The 26,912-nt window shown below is 46.7% G+C and overlaps 2 long non-coding RNA genes across 2 annotated transcripts, besides 2 other annotated features; one reads left to right on the top strand and one right to left on the bottom strand.

Annotated features, from left to right (window-relative positions):
- LINC01879 (long intergenic non-protein coding RNA 1879) lies at positions 10,227 to 13,834 on the bottom strand. Its single transcript, NR_122073.1, has 2 exons — positions 11,890 to 13,834; positions 10,227 to 10,619 (listed from the first exon to the last, which is right to left on the bottom strand). It is a non-coding gene; the product is annotated as a long intergenic non-protein coding RNA 1879 (long non-coding RNA).
- Positions 15,451 to 16,427: an enhancer, noted in NCBI's record as "H3K27ac-H3K4me1 hESC enhancer chr18:74399393-74400369 (GRCh37/hg19 assembly coordinates)". NCBI's record gives its function as "activates a minimal SCP1, AML or CMV promoter by ChIP-STARR-seq in naive and primed H9 embryonic stem cells {active_cell/tissue: H9 hESC(naive and primed)}" and the evidence as "EXISTENCE:reporter gene assay evidence [ECO:0000049][PMID:30033119]".
- Positions 16,439 to 17,395: an enhancer, noted in NCBI's record as "H3K27ac-H3K4me1 hESC enhancer chr18:74398425-74399381 (GRCh37/hg19 assembly coordinates)". NCBI's record gives its function as "activates a minimal SCP1, AML or CMV promoter by ChIP-STARR-seq in primed H9 embryonic stem cells {active_cell/tissue: H9 hESC(primed)}" and the evidence as "EXISTENCE:reporter gene assay evidence [ECO:0000049][PMID:30033119]".
- Positions 16,440 to 20,317, top strand: LOC105372212 (uncharacterized). Its single transcript, XR_935657.4, has 3 exons — positions 16,440 to 16,994; positions 17,384 to 17,496; positions 19,201 to 20,317. It is a non-coding gene; the product is annotated as an uncharacterized LOC105372212 (long non-coding RNA).
- Positions 20,318 to 26,912: the final 6,595 nt, after the last annotated feature.

Genomic DNA, 26,912 nt, shown 5'->3' with positions numbered 1-26,912 from the left:
TGGAAGCCGGGTGCGGTGGCTCACGCCTGTAATCCCAGCACTTTGGGAGGCCGAGGCGGGCGGATCATGAGATCAGGAGATCGAGACCATCCTGGCTAACACGGTGAAACCCCGTCTCTACTAAAAATACAAAAAGTTAGCCAGGCGTGGTGGCGGGCGCCTGTAGTCCCAGCTACTCGGGAGGCTGAGGCAGGAGAATGGCATGAACCTAGGAGGCGGCGCTTGCAGTGAGCCGAGATTGCACCATTGCATTCCAGCCTGGGCAACAGAAGTGAGACTCCGTCTCAAAAAAAAAAAGAAAGAAAGAAAAGAAAAAGAAAAAAAAAGGCTGGAGACTGAACCTGAGCAGAGGTTTAGTCGTGACTTTGTTGTGCAAATCATCTTCTATGCCGACTTCCCAAGACAGTCTGTGGCGCTAGGTTTCCAGGCAATGAATGGGATCGTTGTGGATGTTACTGACCCAGTAGACGAAAAGGCTCAGCTAATGGTGACAGAATAATACATCTTGGAGAGACAGACTCTGTTCTGTAACTCTTTATTCATGATAAGTATTGATAAGTCAAAAGCAAAATGACCTAACCCTCCTAGACTTATTTCTCCTGAAACACCTTTTTGTATTAAGTTAGTGCTTAATAACCCTGGAACTCCTCCCCTGCCCGTGTAGATCCAAATAGACCCCTCTCTCCTCTCTCGGTGCTTCCGAGGCAGACTTCTTGGGAGCAAGCCCATGCCAAGCATTCCACCCAGGGCTCCTACCCCCAGCATGCATGTTGGTGTGCCAACAGTGTGGAACAACCCTCCACCACGACCCTCCACCACGACCCTCCGTCCCGGCGTGGAACGACCCTCCACCACGACCCTCCGTCCCGGCGTGGAACGACCCTCCACCACGACCCTCCGTCCCGGCGTGGAACGACCCTCCACCACGACCCTCTGTCCCGGTGTGGAATAACCCTCCACCACGAACTTCTGTACCAGCAGGGTTTGCATAAATCTTTTTGTACACTCACAGCTCTTTCTCTCTCTTTTTTTTTTTTTTTAACATGGGTCAGAGTTTCAGTCCTTCAGCCTCAATGGGTTTTTTGATGTTTGTGTAGGGTGTTACTCAAGCCAGATGTCCATCTTGAGATTTCTGAATCTCCTGTGATCACAGCTTGTCTTGCCTGTAGGAATTAACTGAAAGAGATGTCCTTTACTTAAAAGCTACATGTGAAAATCAACTCCTTGTCTTAACATTTGCAGTCCTTATGTCACTGTCTTGTGCTTCTCCTGGTGTAGTCCTACTGTTTTCTAGAAATCTCTTTTAAGCATTATTTTTGAAAAAAATTTTTATAGGTGAATATTCATGCTAACCTAGTGGGTATGATCTTGGAACTTTCATGATTCCCCACTTGAAGATCAAAGTATGATATGCTGTGTGCTCTTTAGTTAGTACTATGAATGCAAAAATGCTCTCTACGCTGGTGTTTGTTACTATTTTGCTGAGCACTAATGAATGTATGCTGTGTGCTGGAAATCGACTAAAAGGTATCCTGTTCTTTGCATGTTTGTTGAAAACCCTTTCTGCAGAAATCAGTTAGGTTGTCTATCTGCTTTAGTTTAGTGCAATGTTTGGTAGAGTATTAGTTACCAGAAAGCATGTATGTCATTTCCAAAAAGAAGAAAAAACATAGTAGTTCAATTTCCAACATGTACTTTTGATTTTTTATTTAAGTAAAATTCTGTACTGATTTTTCATTTGGCTATTCTGGTTTTAAAGGATGAGCTACAAGTGACATGTTTTTTATACCGATGTGTCACTTATTAAATTCTTTTGTACCATGACTTAAAAAAAAGAAATCAAGTTATCTTTTCCAAATGTATAGATCTTGTGATTTTAAGTAGACTGTTGCCATGTTCATACCGTGACTTCTGCCTTTCAGACAGTTGGAAGCTTCTGGAAGCAGCACGGAGAGTTTACATTGCCCTGGCTTTGAGTTTCGAAGCAAGGGTGCTCCACTCTTGTTGGATTTTTGGAGCTTCTGATGAATGCACATGTTGAATCAGAGTGCTCCAGAGTATTAGAACCAGAAAGTCATTTAGAGAACACATGAAGCTTTATTTCACAGACAGGAAGCTGGGTCAGACACAGTGAGTGAGGATGCGCCTGGGGTGAGCCTGGAGTGGGGATTCCCATGCTATCCTTTATTGTTTATCAAAGACTCAGGTGGGATCTTTAGCTTCCCCAGACTCTGTTTCCCCACAGAATCCAGTTTCAGGATTATCTGTATTACTGGTGACAACTCGTGCAAATACCTGTCTTGGTATGTGCACATAATTATATTAGCATTGAATAAATACACCCCACCCCAAACATTTGACTCAGATCATGAGCTAATTGGGCATAATCCCAGCCCTAAAAGGAAGTGGAGAGGATCAGACCCTGTATATATGTTTATTTTATTTTATTTTATTTTTTGAGACGGAGTCTTGCTCTGTCCCCCAGGCTGGAGTGCAGTGGCGCGATCTCGGCTCACTGCAAGCTCTGCCTCCCAGGTTCACACCATTCTCGTACCTCAGCCTCCCAAGTAGCTGGGACTACAGGCACCTGCCACCACGCCTGGCTAATTTTTTTGTAGAGATGGGGTTACACCGTGTTAGCCAGGATGGTCTCGATCTCCTGATCTTGTGATCCACCTGCCTCCGCCTCCCAAAGTGCTGGGATTACAGTTGTGAGCCACCGCGCCCGGCATTTGTTTTTTATGTTTTTTTTTTTTTTAATGCCTTGCCCAGCTGCCTCCCACCTAAGAAGAGATTTGGGGAGACAAGATTTTTGTCCCGAAACGGCTATTTGGTTATGAGTGGGAGGATTAAGAGTCACATAGCAAATTAAAATTCGCCCTACCTCACCCCCTTGCTTTTTATTAGTGTTACTCCTAAACATTGCGGCTGCAAACATGCCCACACACAGATCTGTCTTGTGCATCTCTGATTATTTGCTCATGTAAATTCCTAGAATGAAATGTCTCAGTTTTAAAATGCAATTATAACTTTACCCTTTTGAAATACAAAATACAATTATTTTCTGACAGTTTCTACCAACTTATGTACCAATTAGCTACTTATTCCATTTCCCTTTTCTCAAAACACAGATTAAAACTGGATATTTTAATTTTTAAAATGTTTCGACAGTATATTTGTTATTTTAAAATAAATTTTTAAATGTTAGAATAGTTTTTTAATTTTTATTTATTTATTTATTTATTTTTATTTTTTTGAGATGGAGTCTCACTCTGTCACCCAGGCTGGAGCACAGTGGCACGATCTCGGCTCCCTGCAAGCTCTGCCTCCCGGGTTCATGCCATTCTCCTGCCTCAGCCTCCCGAGTAGCTGGAACTACAGGCTCCCGCCACCATCACGCCTGGCCGAGCCAAGGAACCAAGATCATGGTGTGGCATAGAAAACACAGCCTGTTGAACAAGATTCTGCAGACCGCCTGCCTCCGTGGATGGGAGGGCCTGACAGGTGTTTATTTCTCCATTTCACATTAACTGGGAAGCGACAGCAGCTCATGGCCACTGCACCCGGCTGCCGTGTGGTTCATCGGACATTTCAGCTGTCTTGAAAATTGATATTGATTACTTCAGAACGTGCCGTCCATGGAGCGATTCATCTTGGCAGTTAGAGTGGGCAGAATGATTAGATCCTCGCTCCACAGCTGCATTCCACACTTCTGCCTGGTCCTAGGCTTGGTTTCAGAGGCCTCATTAACACACGTCATCCAGTGATCTTGGAGAACATTATGCTAAGTGAAATAAGCCAGACACAGAAGGACAAATATGCCTGGTGCTGCTTGCATGATGAATCTAGTCAGGCTCAGGAGCAGAGAGTGGAACAGTGATTGTCAGGGGTGGGATGAGAGAGGGAGCGTGGGGGAGGGGGACGGGACGGGATGAGTCAGGGGGTGCAAAGTTTCAATTATACAAGATGAGTAAGTCCTAGCAATCTATTGTGTAGCGTGGACATATCATTAGCAACACTGTATTGTATACTTAAAATTGGCTGAAAGGATAGATCTTGTGTTTGTATCACAAAATAATAACAATAATTAATTCAGAGGGTGGAAAGAGACTTTTGGAGGTGATGGATATGCTTACGGCATAAATTATGGTGAGGTTTCACAGGTGAGTACTTATCTCCAAACTCATCAAGTTGTAGACATAAAATATGTACAGCTTTTTCTACGTCAATTAGACTTCAATAAAGTGGCTTTAAAAATAAATGGCAGCTTTTACTTAATTTAAGTTTAATTTTCTTCTTTTTCTTTTTCTTTTCTTTTCTTTTTTTTTTTTGAGACAGGGTTTGGTTTTGCCACCCAGGCTGGAGTGCAGTGGTGCGATCTCAGCTCACTGCACTGCAACCTCTACCTCCTGGGCTGAAGCAATCCTCCCACCTCAGCCTCCTAAGTAGCCGTTGCATGCCACCATATCAGGCTACTCTTTGTATTTTTTGTAGAGACAGGGTCTCGCCATGTTGCCCAGGCTGGTCTCGAACTCCTGAGCTCAAGCAATCTGCCTGCCTCGGCCTCCCAAAGTGCTGGGATTACAGGAATGAGCCACCATGCCTAGCCAGCTTTTACTTAATTTTAAATTGTGGGGATCCCACTCAACCAAAAAAGAATAGCATTGATAGCACCTTCAAATGTTCTAGTCGTTTTCCTGTACCATTAGATCTAGATAGCGAGTTCCTCGAGGGTTAGACGCACGCCTTAGTCAGGAGAATCCTCATAGCTGTAGCAAGCACGTGTGCGGCACCCGGGAACAGGCGGCTGCACGCCCTGCTTGCGGCATCCCATGGATCCTTGTAGCAATGCATAGGGGTGACACGATTCTTTGCATTTTCAGGTATAAAAAAGAGAGAGAGAGATGGAGAAAGAGAGAGAGACAGACAGACAGACACAGAAAGAGAGAGAGGGAGCGCGTGCAGGCAATGAAATCCAGCTAGAAAGGGTCAGAGCCAGGGTTTGGTTCTGAGTCTCGCTCCGCAGCCTGCATGCTTAACCACACCTCCTTAATGCTGACTATTAATTGGTGTGAGAGAGATCAGTCATGTCTTACCGTGGCAGCCCCAGTACCTAGAACAATCACTAGCTTAGGGGGCCGTCACGAAGCTTGGTGAATTAATAACCGAATGAATGCATGAGAAGATTGAGGGGATGAAGGTAGAGATGGGCCACAGGGGCTCGATACCCTGGCAGGCTTCACTTTTGGCTCATGTGAGAACTACACTTTAAGCCAGCAGGGGCCTAGGAATTTCTAGAACATTCTTTGGGTTTTTCTTCCTTTCAAGAGCTGAGCCAGAGAGTCACTGCACCAATTGTGTGTGTGTATGTGTGTATGTATGTGTGTGTGTACGTTTGTGTGTGTATGTGTGTACGTGTGTATGTGTGTGTACATATGCGTGTGTACGTGTTTAATTTCCTGCTTATTGCCCTGCAAGGAGGTCCCCTGCTCCTGAGAGGGAGTGGAGATTTTGTGAGATGATACCCATTAAGGCCTTTTATGCTCGCCATTTTGTAACAAACAGCATCTGGAGCTTGGGAGGAGTGGGGAGCCTGGCTGTCCAGGAGGACAGATTAAGTGTCCACCTTTATAAATCAAACTCCTGTGATGTGGGTTCAGAGGTCACCAACAGCAAATACACATCTTGTAGTTTGGGGTAAAGCAGGAAAAAATATTATTTTAAGATTTAGGATTAAATTGCAAATACCCAGAACACAATTCCTATATGTAAAACACATTCTATTTAAATGTTTTCATTTTTTAAAAAATCTCATTTCTAAGTGGCCAAAAATAATAATTGTGAACGATAACTTTGTCTTCTTATTTATATTCAAGGACCAACTCAGATTAAAGCGATCTTTTAAAAAGGCTTGAAAAGGAGAATAAATCAGTATCGGTGTCAGTTTGTCTCATTTTAACAATAGTCACTATGGAAACAAATCACCCACCTATTTCTTTTCCTACCTCCAAGTAAACAATAGGGTTTCCACTTTTCCTGGTATCCTGTTTCCTCTGCGCAGGAAGTTCTTGTACAGAACGTCTGTACAGTGCTTCTAATTGAACCTATGGTTTTCCCCACATGCCTGTTTCTGTTGTTTTAAACCTCCTCCGCCTCGTGGATTTTCACTCTGAAAGGCTGAGGATCCTCAACCCCATCCTCTGGAATCCTGAGCGTTTTGTCTGGGGCTCCTTGTCTTGCTCAGGGGTGGAGAATCCAGCTGTGGATGCAGAGCGGGGCCAGTGTGCCCCAGACGTCTACAACGTGCCCTGCCCGAGACTCAGCGGAGTCTCACGGAGTTTCCTTTCCTTCCACGCCCCACTTGGGTTAGACAAATGGGAGTGTCCCAGAGGGTCATTTTCCATACTAAGCTGCCGATTCAGGAAAGAACAAAACGCTAACGTGTGTGTGCTTTCTTCCTGTCCTGAACCCACACCCCAAATTCATTGTATATTTGGTTGAAGCCCAGAAGTTTCTGGACATAGAGATTGCTGTCTGCCCAGTGCACAGGAGTCCCTCAGAGGGGCTCTCTGTGCCCCATGGACGTCCGGGGCTCCTCACCTGCACCCCCACCTGCTCTCGTCTCCAAGGACACTCTTTTGTTGGAATATTAAAAGGAAGTGTACTATGTCTAACTTTGTTTATTGCCTGCTATTTTTATGACCTGCAGAGTACTCTTAGGTTTTTATTTTGTGAGATAGAAAATTACAGAAACATCCTAAGAAACACACACACACACACACACACAAAACCCCAGTTCTGTATAGCTGCAGTGTTCTCAAACAGAGCAGTAAAGAGGGCACACACCAGCGACTAATACAAAATGTATTAAAAATGAGAATAAAATGGCCATAGAATAATTTTTCTTATTTGAAAATCTATTTTTAAAAACAAAGAGGCTTGACCTAATATTCCAGTGCCCCAAATGTGCCTCAGGTACCTTGGGAAGACTTTTTGGGATTTTACCACTGATATTACTTTATGCTCTTACAGAGCCATGATTTTCCAAACAGCCACATCAACATGATACCAAAGCAATTGTTTGGAAATTAGGGGAAGAAATTAATGCACCTGGGCCGGGCGCAGTGGCTCACGCCTGTAATCCCAGCACTTTGGGAGGCCAAGGCGGGCGGATCACGAGGTCAGGAGATCGAGACCATCCTGGCTAACACGGTGAAACTCTGTCTCCACTAAAAATACAAAAAATTAGCCGGGCACGGTGGCAGGCGCCTGTAATCCCAGCAACTCAGGAGGCTGAGGCAGGAGATGGTGTGAACCTGGGAGGCCAAGCTTGCAGTGAGCCAAGATCGCACCACTGCACTCCAGCCTGGGGGACAGAGCAAGACTCCATCTCAAAAAAAAAAATTCATGCCCCTGAAAACATGGCATATAAATTGCAAACATGGTTTCCATTCTCCACCTTTTCCTGATCCATGCCCTCTGCAATGTGCCTTTGCTGTTCCTCTCATTAAGAAGTGGAGCCTATTTTATCACCCGTTGAATCTAGGCTCTCCTGTGACTCTCTTTAGCCATAGAATATGGCAGAAGTGATAACATATTAGCCCTGGGCTTAGGTCTCCAGAGGTCTTACACACTTGCACTCCTTTTCGGCATACTTCAGGATAAGAGAGCACAGAGAGACCAGGCGCGGTGGCTCACTCCTGTAATCCCAGCACTTTGGGAGGCCGAGGCGGGCGGATCACAAGGTCAGGAGATCGAGACCATCCTGGCTAACACGGTGAAACCCCACCTCTACTAAAAATAGAAAAAAATTAGCCAGGCATGGTGGCGGGCACCTGTAGTCCCAGCTACTTGGGAGGCTGAGGCAGAAGAATGGCGTGAACCCGGGAGGCAGAGCTTGCAGTGAGCCGAGATTGCGCCACCGCACTCCAGTCTGGGCGACACAGTGAGACTCCATCTCAAAAAAGAAAAGAAAAGAAAAGAAAAAAAAACAGAGAGCACAGAGAAAAACCAAGACCCCCAGCTGACCCACAGCTGACACATCCCCATGAGGGAACCCAACTCCAACCAAAAGATCCTCCTAGCAGAGCCCAGCCTAAGTTGCTGACCCATAGAATCACGAACTCAATAAATGCCTATCATTTTAAGCTATGATGTTTTGGGCTGGCTTGTTACACAGCAATAGATAACTGATACACACCTTTTCTTTCTCATTTCCCCAACTCTTCATTGCCCAGCAAAAGGTTATTGTTGTGCAAAAGGTTCTGTCAAAGAATCAGGATTTGGGCCGGGCATAGTGGCTCACACTTATAATCCCAGCACTTTGGGAAGCTAAGGTGGGCGGATCACCTGAGGTCAGGAGTTGGAGACCAGCCTGGCCAACGTGGTGAAACCCTGTCTCTACTAAAAATACAAAAATTAGCTGAGCATAATGGTACATGCTTGTAATTCCAGCTACTCAGGAGGCTGAGGCAGAAGGATTTCTTGGGAGGCAGAAGTTGCAGTGAGCCAAGATTGAGCCACTGCCCTCCAGCCTGGGTGACAAGAGCAAAATTCCATCTCAAAAAAAAAAAAAAAAAAAAAAAAATCAGGAGACCTAGTCCTAGTCCTGGTTCTGAAATATTTAGCTGTGACCTTGATCAGTCCTGTTCCTTTTCCGAGCATCAGCTGCTTTGTCTGCATGTCTACACACAAAGTATTTGTTATTTCTAGCTAGAATATCTGTGTGGAAGAAACTGACAGAGCAGCTTGAATTCTTCCCCACTTTGGTGTGAATGCCTTTAAGAATCATCTCAGACAAATCTATTCACTGGACTCAGCAAATATACCATTGGACAAATATACCACTGGACTCAGCAATCCCACTGCCTTGCCCTCATGCTATGAAAGCACACACGTGGATATGCAAACATGATGTTCTAGAGTGTCTGGAGCAGCAATCTTTGTGTGGCAAACATCAGGAAATAACCTGAATGCCCACTGAGGAAATTGGTTGCACAAATCGTGGTGTATTTATACTATAAAATATTGTACAGCTGTTTAAAAATTATCTGGAAGAGCTTTTATAATGTATTTTTTAAATGAGAGAAACAGGTTGCAGGGTATAATACTATTTTTGTAAAGGAAACAAAATAACAAAATCCTTTATATGTGTCCCTGGTTTCTGTGTGATTGGCCATGGAAAATGATTTGGAAGGAAGCCGACCAGGCTGCTGTCTGGGCTGGAGACAGAGGTAAGAGGTTTCCAACGGCAAATGTGTTGAAACGACCTCAGAGTTTGGGTATAGGGGGTTAGTTAATTTCATGATGGCACATCCATACAGTGAAATAATTTTCAGCTGTTAAAAATAGTGATAATGACAACTGGGCAAGGTGGCTCACGCCTGTAATCCCAGCGCTTTGGGACGCCAATGCAGGTGGATCGCTTGAGCCCAGGAGTTTGAGACCAGCCTGGCCAACGTGGCAAAACTCTGTCGCTACTAAAAATACAAAAATTAGCTTCACATGGTGGTGCGTTGTGCCTGTAATTCCAGCTTCTCAGGAGGCTGAGGCACGAAAATTGCTTGAACCAGGCGGCAAAGGTTGCAGTGAACCGAGATTGTGCCACTGCCCTCCTGCCTGAGTGACAGAGTGAGACTCAGTCACCAAAAAAAAAAAAGAAATAATAATGATACATAAAAATAATTACATATAGGCCAGGCGTGGTGGCTCACACCTGTAATCCCAGCACTTTGGGAGGCCAAGGCGGGCAGATCACGAGGTCAAGAGATCGAGACCATCCTGGCTAACACGGTGAAACCCCATCTCTACTAAAAAAATACAAAAAATTAGCCGGGCATGGTGGCAGGTGCCTGTAGTCCCAGCTATGCGGGAGGCTGAGGCAGAAGAATGGCGTGAACCCGGGAGGCAGAGCTTGCAGTGAGCGGAGATGGGCCACTGCACTCCAGCCTGGGCGACAGGGCAAGACTCATCTCAAAAAAAAAAAATTACATACAATATATTTAAAATAATGATATTAATGAACATAAAACAGCATTAAAGGAGGTAAAAATGCGTGAGCCTATGTATTTGGAAAATGTTCAGGATGGACACTCATCAAATATTCATGGTAATTATTAGTCATTGTGAGCTTATGAGTGGCTTTACTCTTATTTTTACATACTTACATTCTGTAATTTTGCTAAATTAATGTAGAAAAAAGGAAAGAGGTGGAGAGAGGCAGGAATGTTTAGTAATTCAAAGGTGTTTATTAATGCGGGGCAGAAAGAACCAAAAAGGACCGAGTCCTTCATAAACTCAACATCTCTGAATAATAAAGAGGTGAAAGTATTTTGAAATGTTAATGATTACGTGTGGAAGGTGGCTTTAGATACTTAGTGAAATGGGTGACTGGCCATCTATAATGTCTTCGGCTCTCACAAAGTGATGAGGATGAATGAGATAATTAATATTTATAAAGTCCTTTAATATCCTGCAGAAAAGGCTGTTGCGTCAGATAATAGAGTACACCACGGCTCAGTCTTCTGTCTCTCCTCGGACGGGACCCAAGCAGCCTCTTTCTGATGGTCTCTTGAAAGATCACCCATGTATCTCCTGAGGAGTAAGTGTGGTCTTTGTTTCTGTAAACAAGAACACATTGATCGGTGATATGGTTTTGCTGTGTCCACACCCATATCTCATCTTGAATTGCCACGTGTTGTGGGAGGTAATTGAATCATGGAGGCAGGTCTCTCCCGTGCTGTTCTCATGAGAGCGAGTAAGTCTCATGAGATCTGATGGTCATTAGAAGGGGGCATTTCCCTGCACAAGCTCTCTTTGCCTGCTGCCATCCATATAAGATGTGACTTGCTCCTGCCTGCCTTCGGCCACGATTGTGAGGCTTCCTAGCCACATGGAACTGTGAGTCCAATTAAACCTCTTTCTTTTGTAAATTGCCCAGTCTCGAGTATGTCTTTATCAGCAGCATAAAAATGGACTAATACAATTGGAGAAAGACATTACATCTTTTTTTCCCTTAAATTTTATAAATCCAAACAAGAACTATTTTTTACCTTCTGAAACTACATTTGTACTTGGATAGATGTTTTTATTGAACTATCAGCCTTGAATAAACTGTGTCTCAACCCGGCTTTACCAACCTTGACACAATAGGAATTTATAATTAAGCGGAAATAATTAGCATAGATTAAAATGGAAATTAACTTAGACCAGGTGGGTGTCATTAGAATCAAAAGGAAACAGGGATATTTCCACTATGTGGCTTCCATTCTCCTACTTCTAGGTGCCAACATCCAAGCAGCAATTCCCAGAGCCTGGAATTTATACAAAGATCCTAATCTATACCTAGACATGGAATTCACTGGTATTCTAGCTAAAGAACCAGCTAGAATGAAAAGAACACATTGTAATGAAAAGACCATGTCTGAGAATGGCTTTACCCTCTGGTGAAATGCACCCTGATCTTTGTGGGTGAGCACCTTCTTGTTCTTCAGTCTTTGGTGACTAAAGATTCTACAAGGCTTATAAGGTCTACAGGGGCTGGTGAGTGAATAACAGGCATCTACAGACCAACTTAGTGTGTTAGTATCATCTTTTTTTACCCTGGGAAAAGGAAAAGGAAAAACTTATTTTTTCCACTTAGACTCATCACAAGTCTTAGCACATTTGAAAACATTCCAACGACAAAAATGGTCGTTTCAGAGCATGAAGCCATTGGGTCCCAAGTTTGTCAGCTTCTCTGCTTCCTCATTATTCCAATGATCAAACAGCAACCGCTCTGCAAGCTTCTCTGTGCCCCTCCCCACCGCCGTTGTCCTGCAGATTCCCTTCTCCAAAATCACCAGTGTGTGATTTCCTTGGAATAAAAAGCAGATATATAAGGTTACTCACTTTTTCCTGATGTTGAAACTTGCCTCTCAGTCACGTCAGCCTGGCTTCATCCACTGTCAGTACTGTCTCTCCCGTTTTACTATTTTATGTGTATATTTTATGCTGTGAGAAAGGACACAACTATTTGTACCATAAGAAAGACTCTTGTCATGAGAAGAAAGCCCCCAAAATACTCTGTAAAACTGTACTTCTTATACTCCATTGTTGTTGTTGTGGGAGGGACGGTTTGTGACCAGGCTGAGAAATGTTTTCTCCAACGATTACATTCCCAAAACAATATAAACAATCTCAGAATTGAGGAGTGTTGCCTTCATTTAACATCAAGCACTCATGGTTTTCCAACTGTGGCTGTTCCACATCTCTGCAGGTAAAATCTAGGTCCATGAAAGATCTGGTTCTGGACTTCATTAGGGAAAGACATTTGTTATTAGATGGGGTCTCCTCCCTGGCAAGAGGCAAGTCTGAGAACCGGCAAGTCCCAAGCACTTCCTCACGACTGCTGGTGTTACAGTCTGTGTACAGGCGGTTGAAATTTTTAAAAAATCACTCAGGAAATATGCTTTTTGTTCTATCATGTCTTGATATCATCAGTGTAGGTAAAAGTACGCTTTTGAGCTGGGCACGGTGACATGCATCTATGTCCCAGCTAGTCTGGAGCTGAGGCAGAGGATTGCTTGAGCCCAGGAGTTCAAGTCCAGCCTGGGCAACATAATGAGACACCGTCTCAAAAAAAAAAAAAAAAAAAAAAAAAAAGAGTACGCGTTTGAAGAAGTCAAATTGTTAGCATAAGTGAGAAAATTACTCTTGCTGAGAAAGTCTGTGCCCAGGGCTGTGACGACTGATTGAACGTAGCTGCTTATGAGGCTGTGGCTGACCTAAGGAATGAGTAGATACGCTAAGCCCAGATCAGGTTAGAAGTAAACGACACAAGGTCATCTTTTGAGGGCAAACTGCTGAAAATAACTTGTCAATCAAATGTTTAAAATTGAAGCACTGGTTCCAGTCATTCAGGGCCAGCAGTAGGGCTGGCAAGACGTACTACTTCCCAATGTTTTGTTATTTGTGCCACAGCATCAGGGGCCCTTCATTCAGGAAACGTCTCTTGTGTGTTACATGCACAGAGTGAAGAAAGAATGACAAAAGCTCTGAGCTCCTGGAGTCAGGAAACTAGTGGAACAGGCCAACTTCACCCGGTGCAAATAATCCCACAAATCCGTGTCTCGCTGGAATGTGTGATGGGCACCATGAAGGAAAAGCCAAGGATGCTATAGAAGAGTAGGACAAGGGCACCCAGGTCCAACTGGGTGAGGGGAGCCAGGGAGGCCGCCCTGAGTCAGGAGCACCCCAGACATCACACTCTACCTGCCCATCCTTTCTTACTAGAGGTAACATCTGGTTCACTTGACGGCTGTCATCAAACAGGTGAAGTTTCCCCTGGAGTTAAACCTGCAGATCAGAGCACGGCCCAGGTGTAACTGGAGTGGAGGCAGCCAATGATTAAAGACAGAAATGAGAGACGAGATATTCCGTTTGCGTTGTTCATGTATTCCAACACCTCGTACAACGGGCTGATCACAGAGAGCGCTGTTGACATTCGGGACAAACAGTGTCACAGGCTGTGTTTTACTTGCTCTGAATAGAAATTCACTCATGGAAGAAAAACCTACTAAGGCCAACTTACATGAGCGGAGTGTCCTTGCGGTGCCTGAGCTGTGCTCAACTGAAGGTGTCCACGACATACTGAAGGAGCTCTTGTTGGTTTCTAAGGAAATGGAATTCAGAGCACCCATCTTCCATCCCTTTGTTTTATTTTCTGCTTTTTCCAACCTCTGTTTCCACCAAGCTTCGAGTTATCCAGTGTGGATATTCCAGGTAGCGGCAGCAGGTGGTGCTTTATGTGAATGAGCAGCTTTATCCAGCGTTTGTGTCTGATGCATCCGAAGCTGCAGTTAAGTCATCGTTTCCATCTGCATTCAGAGAGCATCCCATCAGGGTGGTGGTTGGGTAATTCCAACTTCTACCTTGAGAACTCCTGCTTAGCAGCTAGTTTTTGGAAGAGATTTGAGAGTCATTTTAACACAACCTTTCAAAATATTCCACTTTAAAGGTAGATTTTGTGGCACTAAACATGAATCAGCACTTTTGCATAATGACAGGATAAAAGTATGACTTCTGCAAGAAACACAAAACATTGACTTCCAGATTTAGCTGTTTATAACAAAACAGGCTCTCTTTGCTGTATGTCTTAGCTCCACTGCCGTTTCCACTTCTTCACAGGTGCCCATGTTCAATCCAGATTTCCTGAATTAGGTATTAGCACATTGCTAGATGCCCTCGGGTACAACATGCAGATCAGTGAAATAACACAGGGATTCCTAGATAGAACACGTTTCCTTTTCATGCGTGTTACTGCGAAGTGTGTTCTGGTTGAGATACATTTGGAATGCAATTCATCTCATTAGCATAAATCATAGCAGTTTTCGTTTCCTCAACTAGGTCTTTGTGCAATGTGAGCAAATGTGAAAATGACACGTGCACCTTAAAAAGTCTTTCAAAGATGAGCCCTTGGGGAGTGGCTTCACGTGGGGAGGAGGCGACCTGGAGAGGGTGGGCAGGAAGGCATTATTCAGCGTGTCAGTGGCGAGGGCTAATCTCCACACTGGGAAAACCACGAGGAGAGAGGGTTGGGTGGTGAGGAGCTCCGGAGTGCACGCACACACATGAATGGACAAGGCACCCAGGGAAGGGAACTATACCCTTGCTCATCATACCAGCCTGGGGCCCCAGCTGTCTCTGCTCACAGGGGCTAAGAGGTGGAACGGAGAGAAAGGAAGCAGACAGACAGGGACAGGAGCCTCAAGAAACCTTGACACCTTTGATTCCCAAATACGCCAGCCTCTCTCATTCACCCTCCGACCCACAGGCTTCACTCTCAGTCTCTTTTGGGAATTGTATTCCTCCCAGACATTGACCCCCTCCCTGAATATGGCTTCCCCTGGGCTTTGACAGGACCTTGCTGAATCTTTATGAAATGTCGGGTTTTCCATGCCATCCCTGCTGCAGGTGGACGGGTGCGGGGAGGTGGGGAGGAGTGGGGGCTCAGCAGCACCCCCGGCTGCTTCTGCTCCTCCTGCTGCCATGAGTGCAGCAGACACACTAGGAGGATGGCATTCTGGTTTTGGGGTGAGGGGAAGGCAGACAGACATTTCTATTCCCTGCTCTCTGTGAATGCAAACACAACACTGCATGGTTTTGCTCTCAGACCTCTAGGAGCTCAGGGAGCAGAATCCCCTCAGTAATGCCCCTTAAAACAGGGACTCAAGTAGATTATTCTCCCGGGGCTGCGGGACACTCCCACTCTTCACTTGACAAGAACACCAGCATTGGGCTGTGCCATGTGAGTCTTCCCTGAGAAATGTGCTGGACAGCTGGGGTCCTCACTTCCAGTCCAGTCCTTTTTCACGCCCATCAGCTCCTTCCTGCTTTGTTCAGCCATGGCTGCCCCAATTGAGTGCAGTGGCAGGCAGTATTTTCCTCCTGGGAATTGGCCAGTTCCCTTCTTAGGTAGCTGGTCTCTGGCACCTTCTAACCACTGAAAAGTCAGGAACGAAAGAGTTTCCGGACCTTGGTCATTTAGATAATGGTATGCTGTGCCCTCGGACAGGTCAGGGTACTGCTCATGATAAATCCCACCATGCTCACCCTGTCACCTGCTGGGCTGCTTTTTTTTGAGACAGGGTCTTGCTCTGTTGCCCAGGCTAGAGTGCAGTGGCATGATCTTGGCTCACTGCAGCCTCAATCTCCCGGGCTCAGGTGATCCTCCCACCTTAGCCTCCCAAGCAGCTGAGACTACAGGCACACATCCCCACACCTGGCTAATTTTTGTATTTTTTATAGAGACGGTGTTTTGCTATATTGCCCAGGCTCAGGTCTTCCGCCCCCCATGGCCTCCCAAAGTGCTGGGATTACAGGCGTGAGCCACCGCGCCCGGCCTGTTGGGCCGTTTGTGTAATGCCATCCGTGCCTCCTCCTGTGTGTCATGCGGGAACACCAATCATATTTTCTGATTGTATCTCTGAGCAGACATGGCATCAATGGCCAATAAAATAGGGCCTCCTGGAGACAGCCCCGGAGAGCTGTGCGAAGACAGCCAGCCACGCACCACGGTGGATGGAAGCTAATTAAAAATGACTTATTAAACACTGCAGACACCACAGCCCAAGGCTGCAGATGAACAAACACTCATGTTTCAACACTGGCTTTTCACAGGGAAGGCAGCCATGCTGTCGTTCTGGTAAGTCATTATTTACCTCCTGAAACTCACCAAAGGGTCTTCAGTCCTCCCCCAGGCCCCACCCCCTGCCCCTTCTGTGTGCCTGTTACAAACCCTGATATTGAAGTCATTCTGCTTCCCTTAAACTGAGGTGTTTAGAAAGGCAACAGATTGTACAATTTGATGTCAAGGACTTATTCTCAGAAAAATGACTCATCTTTATTTAAAGGGTCTATTCAAGTGAGAAATGAATCATTCTCACCTGATGGCCCTCACTGGGTGGGAGAGGGGGCGGAGGTTCCGGGAGAACCAAGTCTCTGGGCACTCTTTGCTGACTCTCCAGCTTAGAATCTCAAGCTTTGGGGCCTGAAAGGAAAGCTGTTTTTTAAGGCATTCGACCTAAACCAAGTTTTAAAAGTATCTTTAAGTATTTCCTTTTTTTTTTTTTTTTTTAGGATAATGAAACCATAGTTGCAACACCCAGAGCTTGGGCTTAGAAGCAACTTTGACAGGATCTGTAGCTGTGAAATTTGCATCCCTGTAACACAGTAACTTATCATGACAAAGATCTGTTGACGTCAATTCCTTTATTACTCTTATTTGTAGGCCAAGGGAGGGACCCAGGGCCCTGATATTGTTGCCTTGGTGCTGTAAGGATTGGATCTGGGTCACTCTGACCTACAAAATTGATACATGGCCCTGGAATAACCTGCACATTTTGAAGAGGAAGAAACAAAACAATCGGTTACTAAAGGCTTGGCTGACTCCAGATCGTGCAATTTCACGGGCTCCCAGGAGATGGCAGCCACTTTTTGGAAAACAGTCTTTAAAGGTACACAGAGCAACAGCGTGCTCACCCCTGGGGCCAGCCGTGGAAAAGTAGGAAGGGCCGGGTGCAGTGGCTCACGCGTGGAATCCCAGCACTTTGGGAGGCTGGGGCAGGAGGATCGCCTGAGGCCAGGCGTTTGAGACCAGCCTTGGTAATAGAGCAAGACCCTGTCTCTACAAAAAAATACAATTAACCGGCTGCGGCGGTGTGCGCCTGTGGTCCCAGCTACTGGAAGGCTGAGGTGGGAAGATCACTCGAGGCTCCAGCCTGGGTGCAGAGCAACACCCTCTCTCAAAAAAAAAAATAAATGAAAGAAAGAAAGAAAAAGAAAAAAGAAAAGTAGGAAGAAGGCAACACTTTGATTAATCTTCGTCTTTTTTTTTTGACAACAGAGCATTGCTGGGTGACCGGTCGAGGGGCAGGACATGCAGGATGATAGTCGCCTGCTGAAAAGGCACTTCTGACAGGCCAGGGTGCAGCACAGAGTCTGCCCAGAGAACCACGTGTGAGTCCTTAAAATGGTCATAAATATGTGTAGGGATCATCACCTTATTTTTAGGGATTGCATCCATCTTAGGGGACCATCTGAACTCTGGAGATCATAGCCAATGCTTGCTTGACATCCCAAAAGCAAAACAAAACCCAGCAACCCCAAGGACCAGATTCCAAAACTAAAAGCAAAAGGACAACAGCGGGATGGCTGAGAGGCCTGTGCAGCACTGGTGGCCACACCTGCGGGGGCAGAGGGAAGGAAGGGCCACACATTCCCCAGCACCTTGAGCCTGGGTGCCGGCGGGCAGTGTGGATGAGGACTGTGTCCCTGGAGTGGTCCCCATTCACAGGCAGAGAAACCAAGCCTCACGCAGTTTGTCTGTTGCGGGTGGTGGGGGTGAGTGGAGCTGGGTAGGGACCCCCCTGGCTCTTGGACACCAGCCCTCTGACAGGTGCTCCAAGCACCTCCACCAGTCTGCATGGGGACTCCCAGAGAGCAAGGGCACGGCTGTGCCCGTTTCTCCTTAAAGGTGATGCAGGTGTGCTCTTCTTCGCTGGCAAGAAAGCTCCATTTTGCTGTTTGCTGTCTCGGCACAAACATTTTCAAAATGGGATTGAAATCTCATTTTCTCCAGTTTTATTTTAAATACAGAAAATGACCCCATGATGAATTTCAAAGCCATAGTTGGGCTTGTCGGGCTCTCAGACTCATACAGGGGGTCTAACCCTGGAAAACCAAGTGTGCGCCACCTTTTGCAACTCTCCCACAGGGGCCTGGAGCCACTCCCTTCCTGGGAACGCTGATGCCTGGAAGGTCAAAGGCAGCGCAGTCAGGCGATCTCAGCGTGGTGCTTTGTGGATACAGATCTGGAGAGGGGATATGGGGACTTGAGTGATGGGGGTGGGGTCTGTAAATGCAGGGCTAAGGGATGTGTTCATTTATTCCAAACTGATGGGATGTCCTGGCAGAAAACCACAAACTCATAGAAAAAGAAAAGCTGGCCGGGTGCGGTGGCTCACGCCTGTAATCCCAGCACTTTGGGAGGCCGAGGCAGGCGGATCATGAGGTCAGGAGATTGAGACCATCCTGACTAGCACAGTGAAATCCCGTCTCTACTAAAAATACACACACACGAAAAAAATTAGCTGGGCATGGTGGTGGGCACCTGTAGTCCCAGCTACTCGGGAGGCTGAGGCAGAAGAACTGCTTGAACCCGGGAGGCAGAGGTTGCAGTGAGCCAAGATTGTGCCACTGCACTCCAGCCTGGGCGACAGAGCGATACTCCATCTCAAAATAAATAAATAAATAAATAAATAATAAAAAAGAAAAAGAAAAGCCTACCAGTTTGGCACACTTTCATGATTTGCTCACCTGTAGATTATTTTTAAAAGGACGACACCGGGAGGAATGATGAATACAGGACTCTGCCAATCACTGCTGAGTTGATGCAGCACAAATGCCTTGTCTTGATGTAAGTGGTTCAACAACATGCTGGGACTTGGCACTGATGGGGTCAAGGCTTTCTATGAATTAATACGCAGATGTGTAGCCTCCTCTCCCTCCTAACCTCTGTAAGGTGAGTTGCTGGGCTGTGAATGACAACACAGCCAAGTGCAGAGAGAAGGGGAGCTTGGAGGATCCACACATTCAGGGCCCCTCTTGAACCACTAGAAACATTTGAAGCTTCATTTAAAGCACTCCTTATCTATCTCCCAGGTGTTAGGAAGAGTGATGTCCAACCTTGGCAGCTGCTGTGTTCCCAGGAGTAAAACAGAGATTCTCGGCATCATCCTCAAAAGGACCCGTGGAGATCGCTGCACGGAGTCAATCACCTGACAAGTGCACCAAGAATGCCCTGTGCCTGGAACTGGCTGCCGTGGAACCCACAGACGCGCAGCATGGGGGATCTGCCAGGAGGAGCCGTGCGGCTGCCCAGCTCATCCCCACCCTCCAAGAGCCCACAGACGCGCAGCATGGGGGCCCTGCCAGGAGGAGCCGTGGGGCTGCCCAGCTCATCCCCACCCTCCAAGAGCCCACGTGCCTCTGCGCATCAGCCACAGTCTGAGCTGGGCACAGAATCGACTCGTGGCCTCTTCAGTTTCCTCAGTGGCTCTTTCTCGACCCCGCTTCTTAGAGCCAGGGTGGCAACTGAGAGCAATGGCGAAACAGGTGAAAATGGGGAGAAAGGGCAGCCAGCGCTGAGATCCACACCCACTGGGAGCCTCCCCTGCTCTCCAGGTCCTGATAATTCAGATGACAAAGCACTCAGCCAGTCAGCTCTAATCCTGTAGCTGCACTGACTCTCTGTTTGTGACTTTAAAATGAAAGCGATCCTGTGTGTATTGATAACACCAGTGAGCCACTTTCAGATTCTGAATCAAAATTGTCAGCTGTTTCTCATCAGACTGTCGATGGCACCTGCCGGTGATGACACTGGTCAGGGGGCAGCCGCAACCTGGGTGAGAACAAGCTCCTGGGGGATCCTCACGTGCAGCCCGGGATGGGGACCACTACCATATGGGAAAACAAAGCTCGATTAGTGCATATTCGACTTTACTTACATTTTGATTTATTGTATTTATAATTATAGAGACAGTTATCTGCTCCTTGGGAAGTAGATTGAAGGAGAGAGAAGTAGAAAAATAGTTACGCACAATCTCATTACCCAGATATGCCCACTGTTGATATTTTGTCATATTTCCTCCTGTGTTTTTATTACTGGTTTTTTTTAAAGCATAATTGAAATCATACAGTATATATGATTTCGGAAACTTGAAAAAATTTAACAACATAAAAATTTCCTCATGCATTAAACAATTTTGTAAACACAAAATGTAAACACCATTTTAAATAGCTGCATAAAACTGAAATATAGGCATGGACCACACTTTGAATTTTTTCCTCTTAAATTATGATGTTAATAATATTAATATTGGCTCCTTCTTACTGAGCCCTTGCTAATTGTAGACACTGTGTTTAAGCACCATACATAAATTATCTGGTTTTAGCTCTCAAATCAATGCTATGCAGTAGATACTGTTATTTTTCCAACGTTATAAATGAGGAAACCAGGGCTCACTAGGGGCTCCTTTTCCTGATTAAGGTGCCAGGGCAAAGGACCTGCACCGTGATCTATGTGAAAAGCCACTGGATTTTTCTCAGTATGTCTCCTTGGTCAAACGGAAACACTGAGGCCTCTCGCGACTATCCTTGAGAATTGTGAGAATTAAAAACGAGGCCGGGTGCGGTGGCTCAGGCCTGTAATCCCAGCACTTTGGGAGGCCAAGACAGGCAGATCGCTTGAGTCCAGGAGTTCAAGACCAGCCTGGGAAACATGATGAAACCCCATCTCTACTAAAAATAGAAAAAGAAAAATTAGTCGGGAGTGCTGGTGCCCGCCTGTAGTCCTAGCTACTTGGGAGGCTGAGGTGGGAGGATCGCTTGAGCCTAGGAGGTTGAGGCTGCAGTGAGCCAAGATCTAGACAGGGCACTCCAGCCTGGGCGACAGAAGGAGATCCTGTCTCAAAAAAATGGGCTGGAGCTGGGTGCAGTGGCTCAAGCCTGTAATCCCAATACTTTGGGAGGCTGAGGCAGGCGGATCACTTGAGGTCAGGAGTTCAAGACCAGCCTGCGCAACAGAGCAAAACCCCATCTCTACTAAAAATACAAAAGTTAGCTGGGTATGGTGGTGTGTGCCTGTAATCCCAGCTATTAGAGTGGCTGAGGCATAAGAATTGCTTGAATCTGGGAGGCGGTGGTTGCAGTGAGCTGAGATCACGCCACTGCACTCCACATTCCAGCCTGGGTGACAGAGTGAGACTGTCTCAAAAAAAAAAAAAAAAAAAAGGCACCCAGGTGCTTCTTCCCTCTCCATACCCTGTGCGGTAGCCTGGCAGCTGCTCCCAGGTAGGGAGAAGGAGAAGTAGGGAATGGGAGCAGCAGTTGAGGCCAGCTCTGTGCAGGGCTGGGACACAGACGGCTTCAGGGTCATGGCCGGCAGCAGTAGCCCTGTCCTCAGTGGTTTGCACACTTTGCTGTGTAAAAAAAACCTGAACGATGGCATCAAATTCAGCCTTGAAAGGAAGGAAATTTTGCTCCATGCTATGACACGGATGCACTGGAGGACACTGTGTTAAGTGCAGTGAGCCAGTCTCAGAGGGACACGTGCTGCTGAGCCACACAGGTGAGGAACACGGAGGAGTCAGGGCCAAGGAGATGGAAAGTGGAAGGGGCGCCAGGGGCTGGGGGAGGAGGAGTGAGGCCTCTGTGTTTCGTGGGGACAGGGTTTAAGTCTGGGAAGATGGAAAAGTTCTGGAGCTGGAGAGTGGTGATGGCTGCACAGCAGTGTGAACGTGTGTAGTGCCACAGAACTGCACACTTAAAAATGATGAAATGGCCGGGCACGGTGGTTCACACTCGTAATCCCAGCACTTTGGGAGGCTGGGAGAATTGCGTGAGTCCAGGGGTTCAAGACTAGCCTGGGCAAGATTGTGAGACCCCCATCTCTACAGAAAAAAAAATAGTGGGGCATGGTGGTGCACACCTATAGTCCTAGCTACCCGGGCGGCTGATGGGGAAGGGTCACATGAGCCCGGGAGGTCTAGGGTGCAGTTACCTATGTTCACGACGCTGCACTCCAGCCTGGGTGGCAGGAGACCCTGTCTCAAAAAACAAAACAAAACAAAACAAAAACGGTTAAAGGATAAATTTTACGTTATGTGTTTTACCACATTAAAAAAAATAAAAGCAGCAAAGTTACTCCCTATTGACTTGGGCTGTAGACCCTCCTTTGAAGAACTTGAAGCCGGGCCTCATTGCTAACCTGTCACAGCAGGTGGAGACTTAGAGGGCTGCTCAGCCGGACGCAGTGGCTCACGCCTGTAATCTCAGCACTTTGGGAGGCTGAGGCAGGTGGATCACGAGGTCAGGAGATCGAGACCATCCTGGCTAACACGGTGAACCCCCGTCTCTATTAAAAATACAAAAAAGGCCAGGCGTGGTGGCTCACGCCTGTAATCCCAGCACTTTGGGAGGCTGAGGTGGGAGGATCACGAGGTCAGGAGATCAAGACCAGCCTGGCTAACACGGTGAAACCCCATCTCTACTAAAAAATACAAAAAGCCGGGCGTGGTGGCGGGCGCCTGTAGTCCCAGCTACTCGGGAGGCTGAGGCAGGAGAATGGCGTGAACCCGGGAGGCGGAACTTGCAGTGAGCCGAGACTGTGCCACTGCACTCCAGCCTGGGTGACAGAGCGAGACTCCAGCTCAAAAACATAAAAAAATAGATGCCTGCTCAAGGAGAGGAAATGGGGGAAAGTGGGGGGGAGGCCAAGACAAGACCCAGGATCAATAAAAATCACTTGGGAGTAACATGACCTCTTTCAGAGGCCAAGCAGCAGAAGGTAGGCACTGCCACCTCAGGTGTATTCTCAACATGTGGGCTGAGCCCCAGAATCTGCCTCCTGCACTGGGCAGGTGCAGAGCCTGGGCTGCCCCCGCCTCTGTGACTCTGTGAGCCAGACCCTTAAGGACCTTTGAAGACCAGGTCCTCCGGCTTCATCTCAATACGGGATTCCAGAAATTTATGCTGATTGAAAACCACCGACCCAAAGGAACCTGCAGAATGCCAGGGAGACCCTTGGGAAAGGTGTGCAAGGTCTCACCCAGGCTTAGCTCCCTAGCGGGAGGGAAGAGTGGAGGGGAAGGCTGTGAGCTCCATGGCCCCAGAGCAGCTGGGGTGTGAGAGGTGAAACCAACCCAGCAGTCCCATAGACAGTTTTTTGGGATAAACACAGAAATTGACCCTTTTTGTCTTAAAGCTTGAAGCTTACCCAGCAGTCCCATAGACAGTTGTTGTTTTTTCGGGGGGGCGGGGATACACATAGAAATTGACCCTTTTTGTCTTAAAGCTTGAAACTTACATTTGTTTTATCTAAGTTCCTTCCTGGGAAAGGACTCCCCGAGGCCTCTGAAAAAGTATCAAAGAATTGAAACTCACCAGATCACTGCATCCACACAGTGAGAAGCCAGGCCCCTCATGCATCATGCCTGCTTCCTTACCCCTCCCGAGTTCCTGTTTTCCCATACATTGTTACATTTCTTCCTTGCGATACAAACCCCTAACTTTAGTCGGCCAGCAAGATGGCTTTGAGACTGATCTCCCGTCTCATCCACTGCAGCCGCCGCCCGATGAAAACCTTCTTCCTTGGCAAGCCTCATTGTCTCAGTCACTGGCTTTCTTTGCAGTGAACAGCAGGACTTAAACTGAACCCCTGGTGTTTCCGTAACAGAGGAAGGGCTGAGCTTCAGCACTTCACAGCCTCTGCAGCTGGGGCTGGAGTCAGGAATCAGCCCAGGCAGGTGCAGGGACAGCTCTCTGCACCAGGGGCAACAGGACCCAGAATCAGGAAGCAAATTCTAAAGACCTCTGAAGAGTCCATTTAAATATTAGAAAGTTCAGGTACTAAATCTTAACGCCTGTTGCTGATAATAGAGCCCTCAGGCTGTCACTTCCAACCTACTTACACCCAAAGACAATTCACACAAGCTTGGTTACATGAATTTTCAGCTCACAGTGTATTAGAAAGAGTATCTGGGGGAGGAACTGAGGGTGCTGCCCCAGCCAGGCAGGTGGAGAGGGCTCCGAGTCCCTCCCTGACTACAGAGCACCAGGTTTTATTTCTGCAAGGAGGAAAATATCAGCTCTGTGGCCTCAGCCATTCACAGAGGATAAACAATGTCAAGTACTGGGAATGGGGGCTCCAAGATGAAATTTCAGGCCCCATGGTGGAATAAATTTTCTTTGTTATTAGAACCATTGTGACAATAGGTTAAGGACATTTATTGCTGGGGGTAGCATTCTAGCAGAGCTGTGCCTTCCCTGGAAGGCGGTGGAGGGCGCCTGAGCACTGAGAGGTAGCGAGCTTGCAGCCCTCGGCTGTCACTGCCTGCTGGGAGCCCCTGTGGCTGCTTCTCCACTTGCGAGTGTCATGGGACTACCAGAACAAGTTACACAAACTACGGGGCTGAAAGCAACAGGATTTGATTCTCCCACAGTTCTAGAGGCCAGAAGTCTGACATCAACGTGTGGGAAGGCTGTGCTCCCTCTGAAATCTTTAGGGGAGGGTCCTTCCCTGTTTCCTCCAGCTCCTGGTGGCTCCCACAACCCTCAGCACTCCTCAGTTGGTGGATGTATCACTCCACTCTCCCCATGGTATTCTCTCATCTCCACGTTTCCCTCTTCTTTTAAGGCCACCAGCCGTCAGATTCAGGGCCCACTGTAATCCAGTATGACCTCCTCTTAACTTGATTATGTCTGCAAAGACCCTATTCCAAATAAGGTCACAGTCTCAGATGTTAGTGAGGTGGCCATGAACTGGGGTGGATGTTATTGAACCCAGCGCACTCATTCTTACCCCCTTCCACTCCCTTCCCACCTTCTCCAGCATTCTCCTGGCTTCTGAGACTTGATGTGGTTCAGCCAGCCAGAGCCCAGCCACTGCGGGAAGGAACGTTCCCTGTCCTGGGCTGAGGATGAGGAGCAGGCAACACCGTGGAAGCCAGCCTGAGGACGGCAGGCACTGGTGGGAACAGAGCCACTGGGCTCCCAGAATCACCCTCAGAGCTGCCTTCAGTTTGTACCCGGCACCCATGTTATTGCTGCATTTATTGACGTAGCCAAAAAAAATCCCCTTCCCTCTGTTAGCTGGCCTGATTGGGGTACCCCTTACAACCCAAAGTGTCTCGAGGGATGTCTCCCCAGGCACACTGCGGAGAAGCTGCCCCCTTTTTTTCCCCAAATGAGACAAAAGGAACTTTTCTGCTTTGGGAAAAAGTAACTGAAAAGGAACTTGGTTTTGTGGCCAGTCTATCTGCCATTGGTCGCCTCGCTCCATGGCACAGGGCCAACTCTGGAACCGAGGACCTTTTGGACAATTGAGGAGCTGTAGCCCCACGCAGTGAACTGAAAGCAGTATTGGTCATAAACCAGTTCTGGCGGGGACGGGAGACATGTGACACCTCTTGGCAGGTCCCAGTCCTGGGAGTCTTGGAATAGACACCAAAATGAGAAGAATCCAAATAAGGTCTGATGTAGACAGAGGAGACATTGCTAATTTGGGCAGATCCTAAAGCAAGTCTTCAGTAGTTCCTGTGATCGTGTGTGGAAATCACATGGTAATAGACATTAGCAATTGTAGCAAATCGTTAGAAATCACTAGAGGTAATGTGCCTCTCGAAGACAAATGTCTATTTGTTATTTTAATGAAAAAATGGTAAATATTTTAAAAGATGAAGACTTCAACTACCTGATAAACGTATTCTTAGGACACTCTTGACTATGTCAGATAAAATATAAGTCTCTCTGTGGCACTGCTATAAATGCATACATTTGCTCAGAGCGAGGAAGGACCCATTTGTGCTGTTTATAATAAAGGAAAACACATGAACTGAGATCTTTATTCAATACTTGCTGGGCACGGTGCCTCACGCCTATAATCCCGGCACTTTGGGAGGCTGAGACAGGCAGATCACTTGAGGTCAGGAGTTTGACAACAGCCTGGTCAACATGGTGAAACCCTGTTTCTACTTAAAAAAAAAAAAAAATTAGCCAGGCATGGTGGCAGACACCTGTAATGCCAGCTACTTGGAGGCTGAGGCAGGAGAATCGCTTGAGCCCAGGAAGCGGAGCTTGCAGTGAGCCGAGATGGTGTCACTGCACTCCAGCCTGGGTGTCGCTGCGAGACTCTGACTCAAAAGCAAACACACAAAAAACTCAAGTGCCAATTTATTTTTCTCCTTTTATAAAGAATCAAGAATTATATGAAAAATGAAATGTCACTTACTGCTAATATGCAAGTTTGCATGGCTGATTAGATGAAGATTTTTCTCAGTAAATATAAATCTTTACTGCTAGGTATATATGCAAGAAAAATGAAAACACGTTTCCACAAAAACCTGCACGTGAATGTTCATAACAGGATTAATCAAAATAGCCAAAATGTAGAAACAACCCAACAGTCAACTGATGAAGAGATAAACATAATTGTGGTATATTTGTGAAATGGAATATTACCCAGCAATAAAAAGGAATGAGGTACTGACATGCTGCAACATGGATGAACTCTGAAATACTGAGCCACATGACAGGAGCCAGTCACAAGCCACCACATGCTGCATGAGCCCATTCACCCAGAAGGCACAGAACAGGCAAATCCATAGCGGCAGAAAGTGGAGTGGTGGGGATGGGAGTGGGTTAGGGACTGCAGCATGGCTGCTAATGTGTACAGGATTTCTTTTAGGAGGTCAAAAATGTTCTTTTTAAAATGGTTTGTTCTTATTTATTTATTTATTTATTCATTTATTTATTGAGATGGAGTCTCGCTCTGTCACCCAGGCTGGAGTGCAGTGGCCCGATCTCGGCTCACTGCA

Source organism: Homo sapiens, chromosome 18, assembly GCF_000001405.40.
Source record: "Homo sapiens chromosome 18, GRCh38.p14 Primary Assembly".
Lineage (NCBI taxonomy): Eukaryota > Metazoa > Chordata > Mammalia > Primates > Hominidae > Homo > Homo sapiens.
This window is presented reverse-complemented; position numbering and strand designations above follow the sequence as displayed.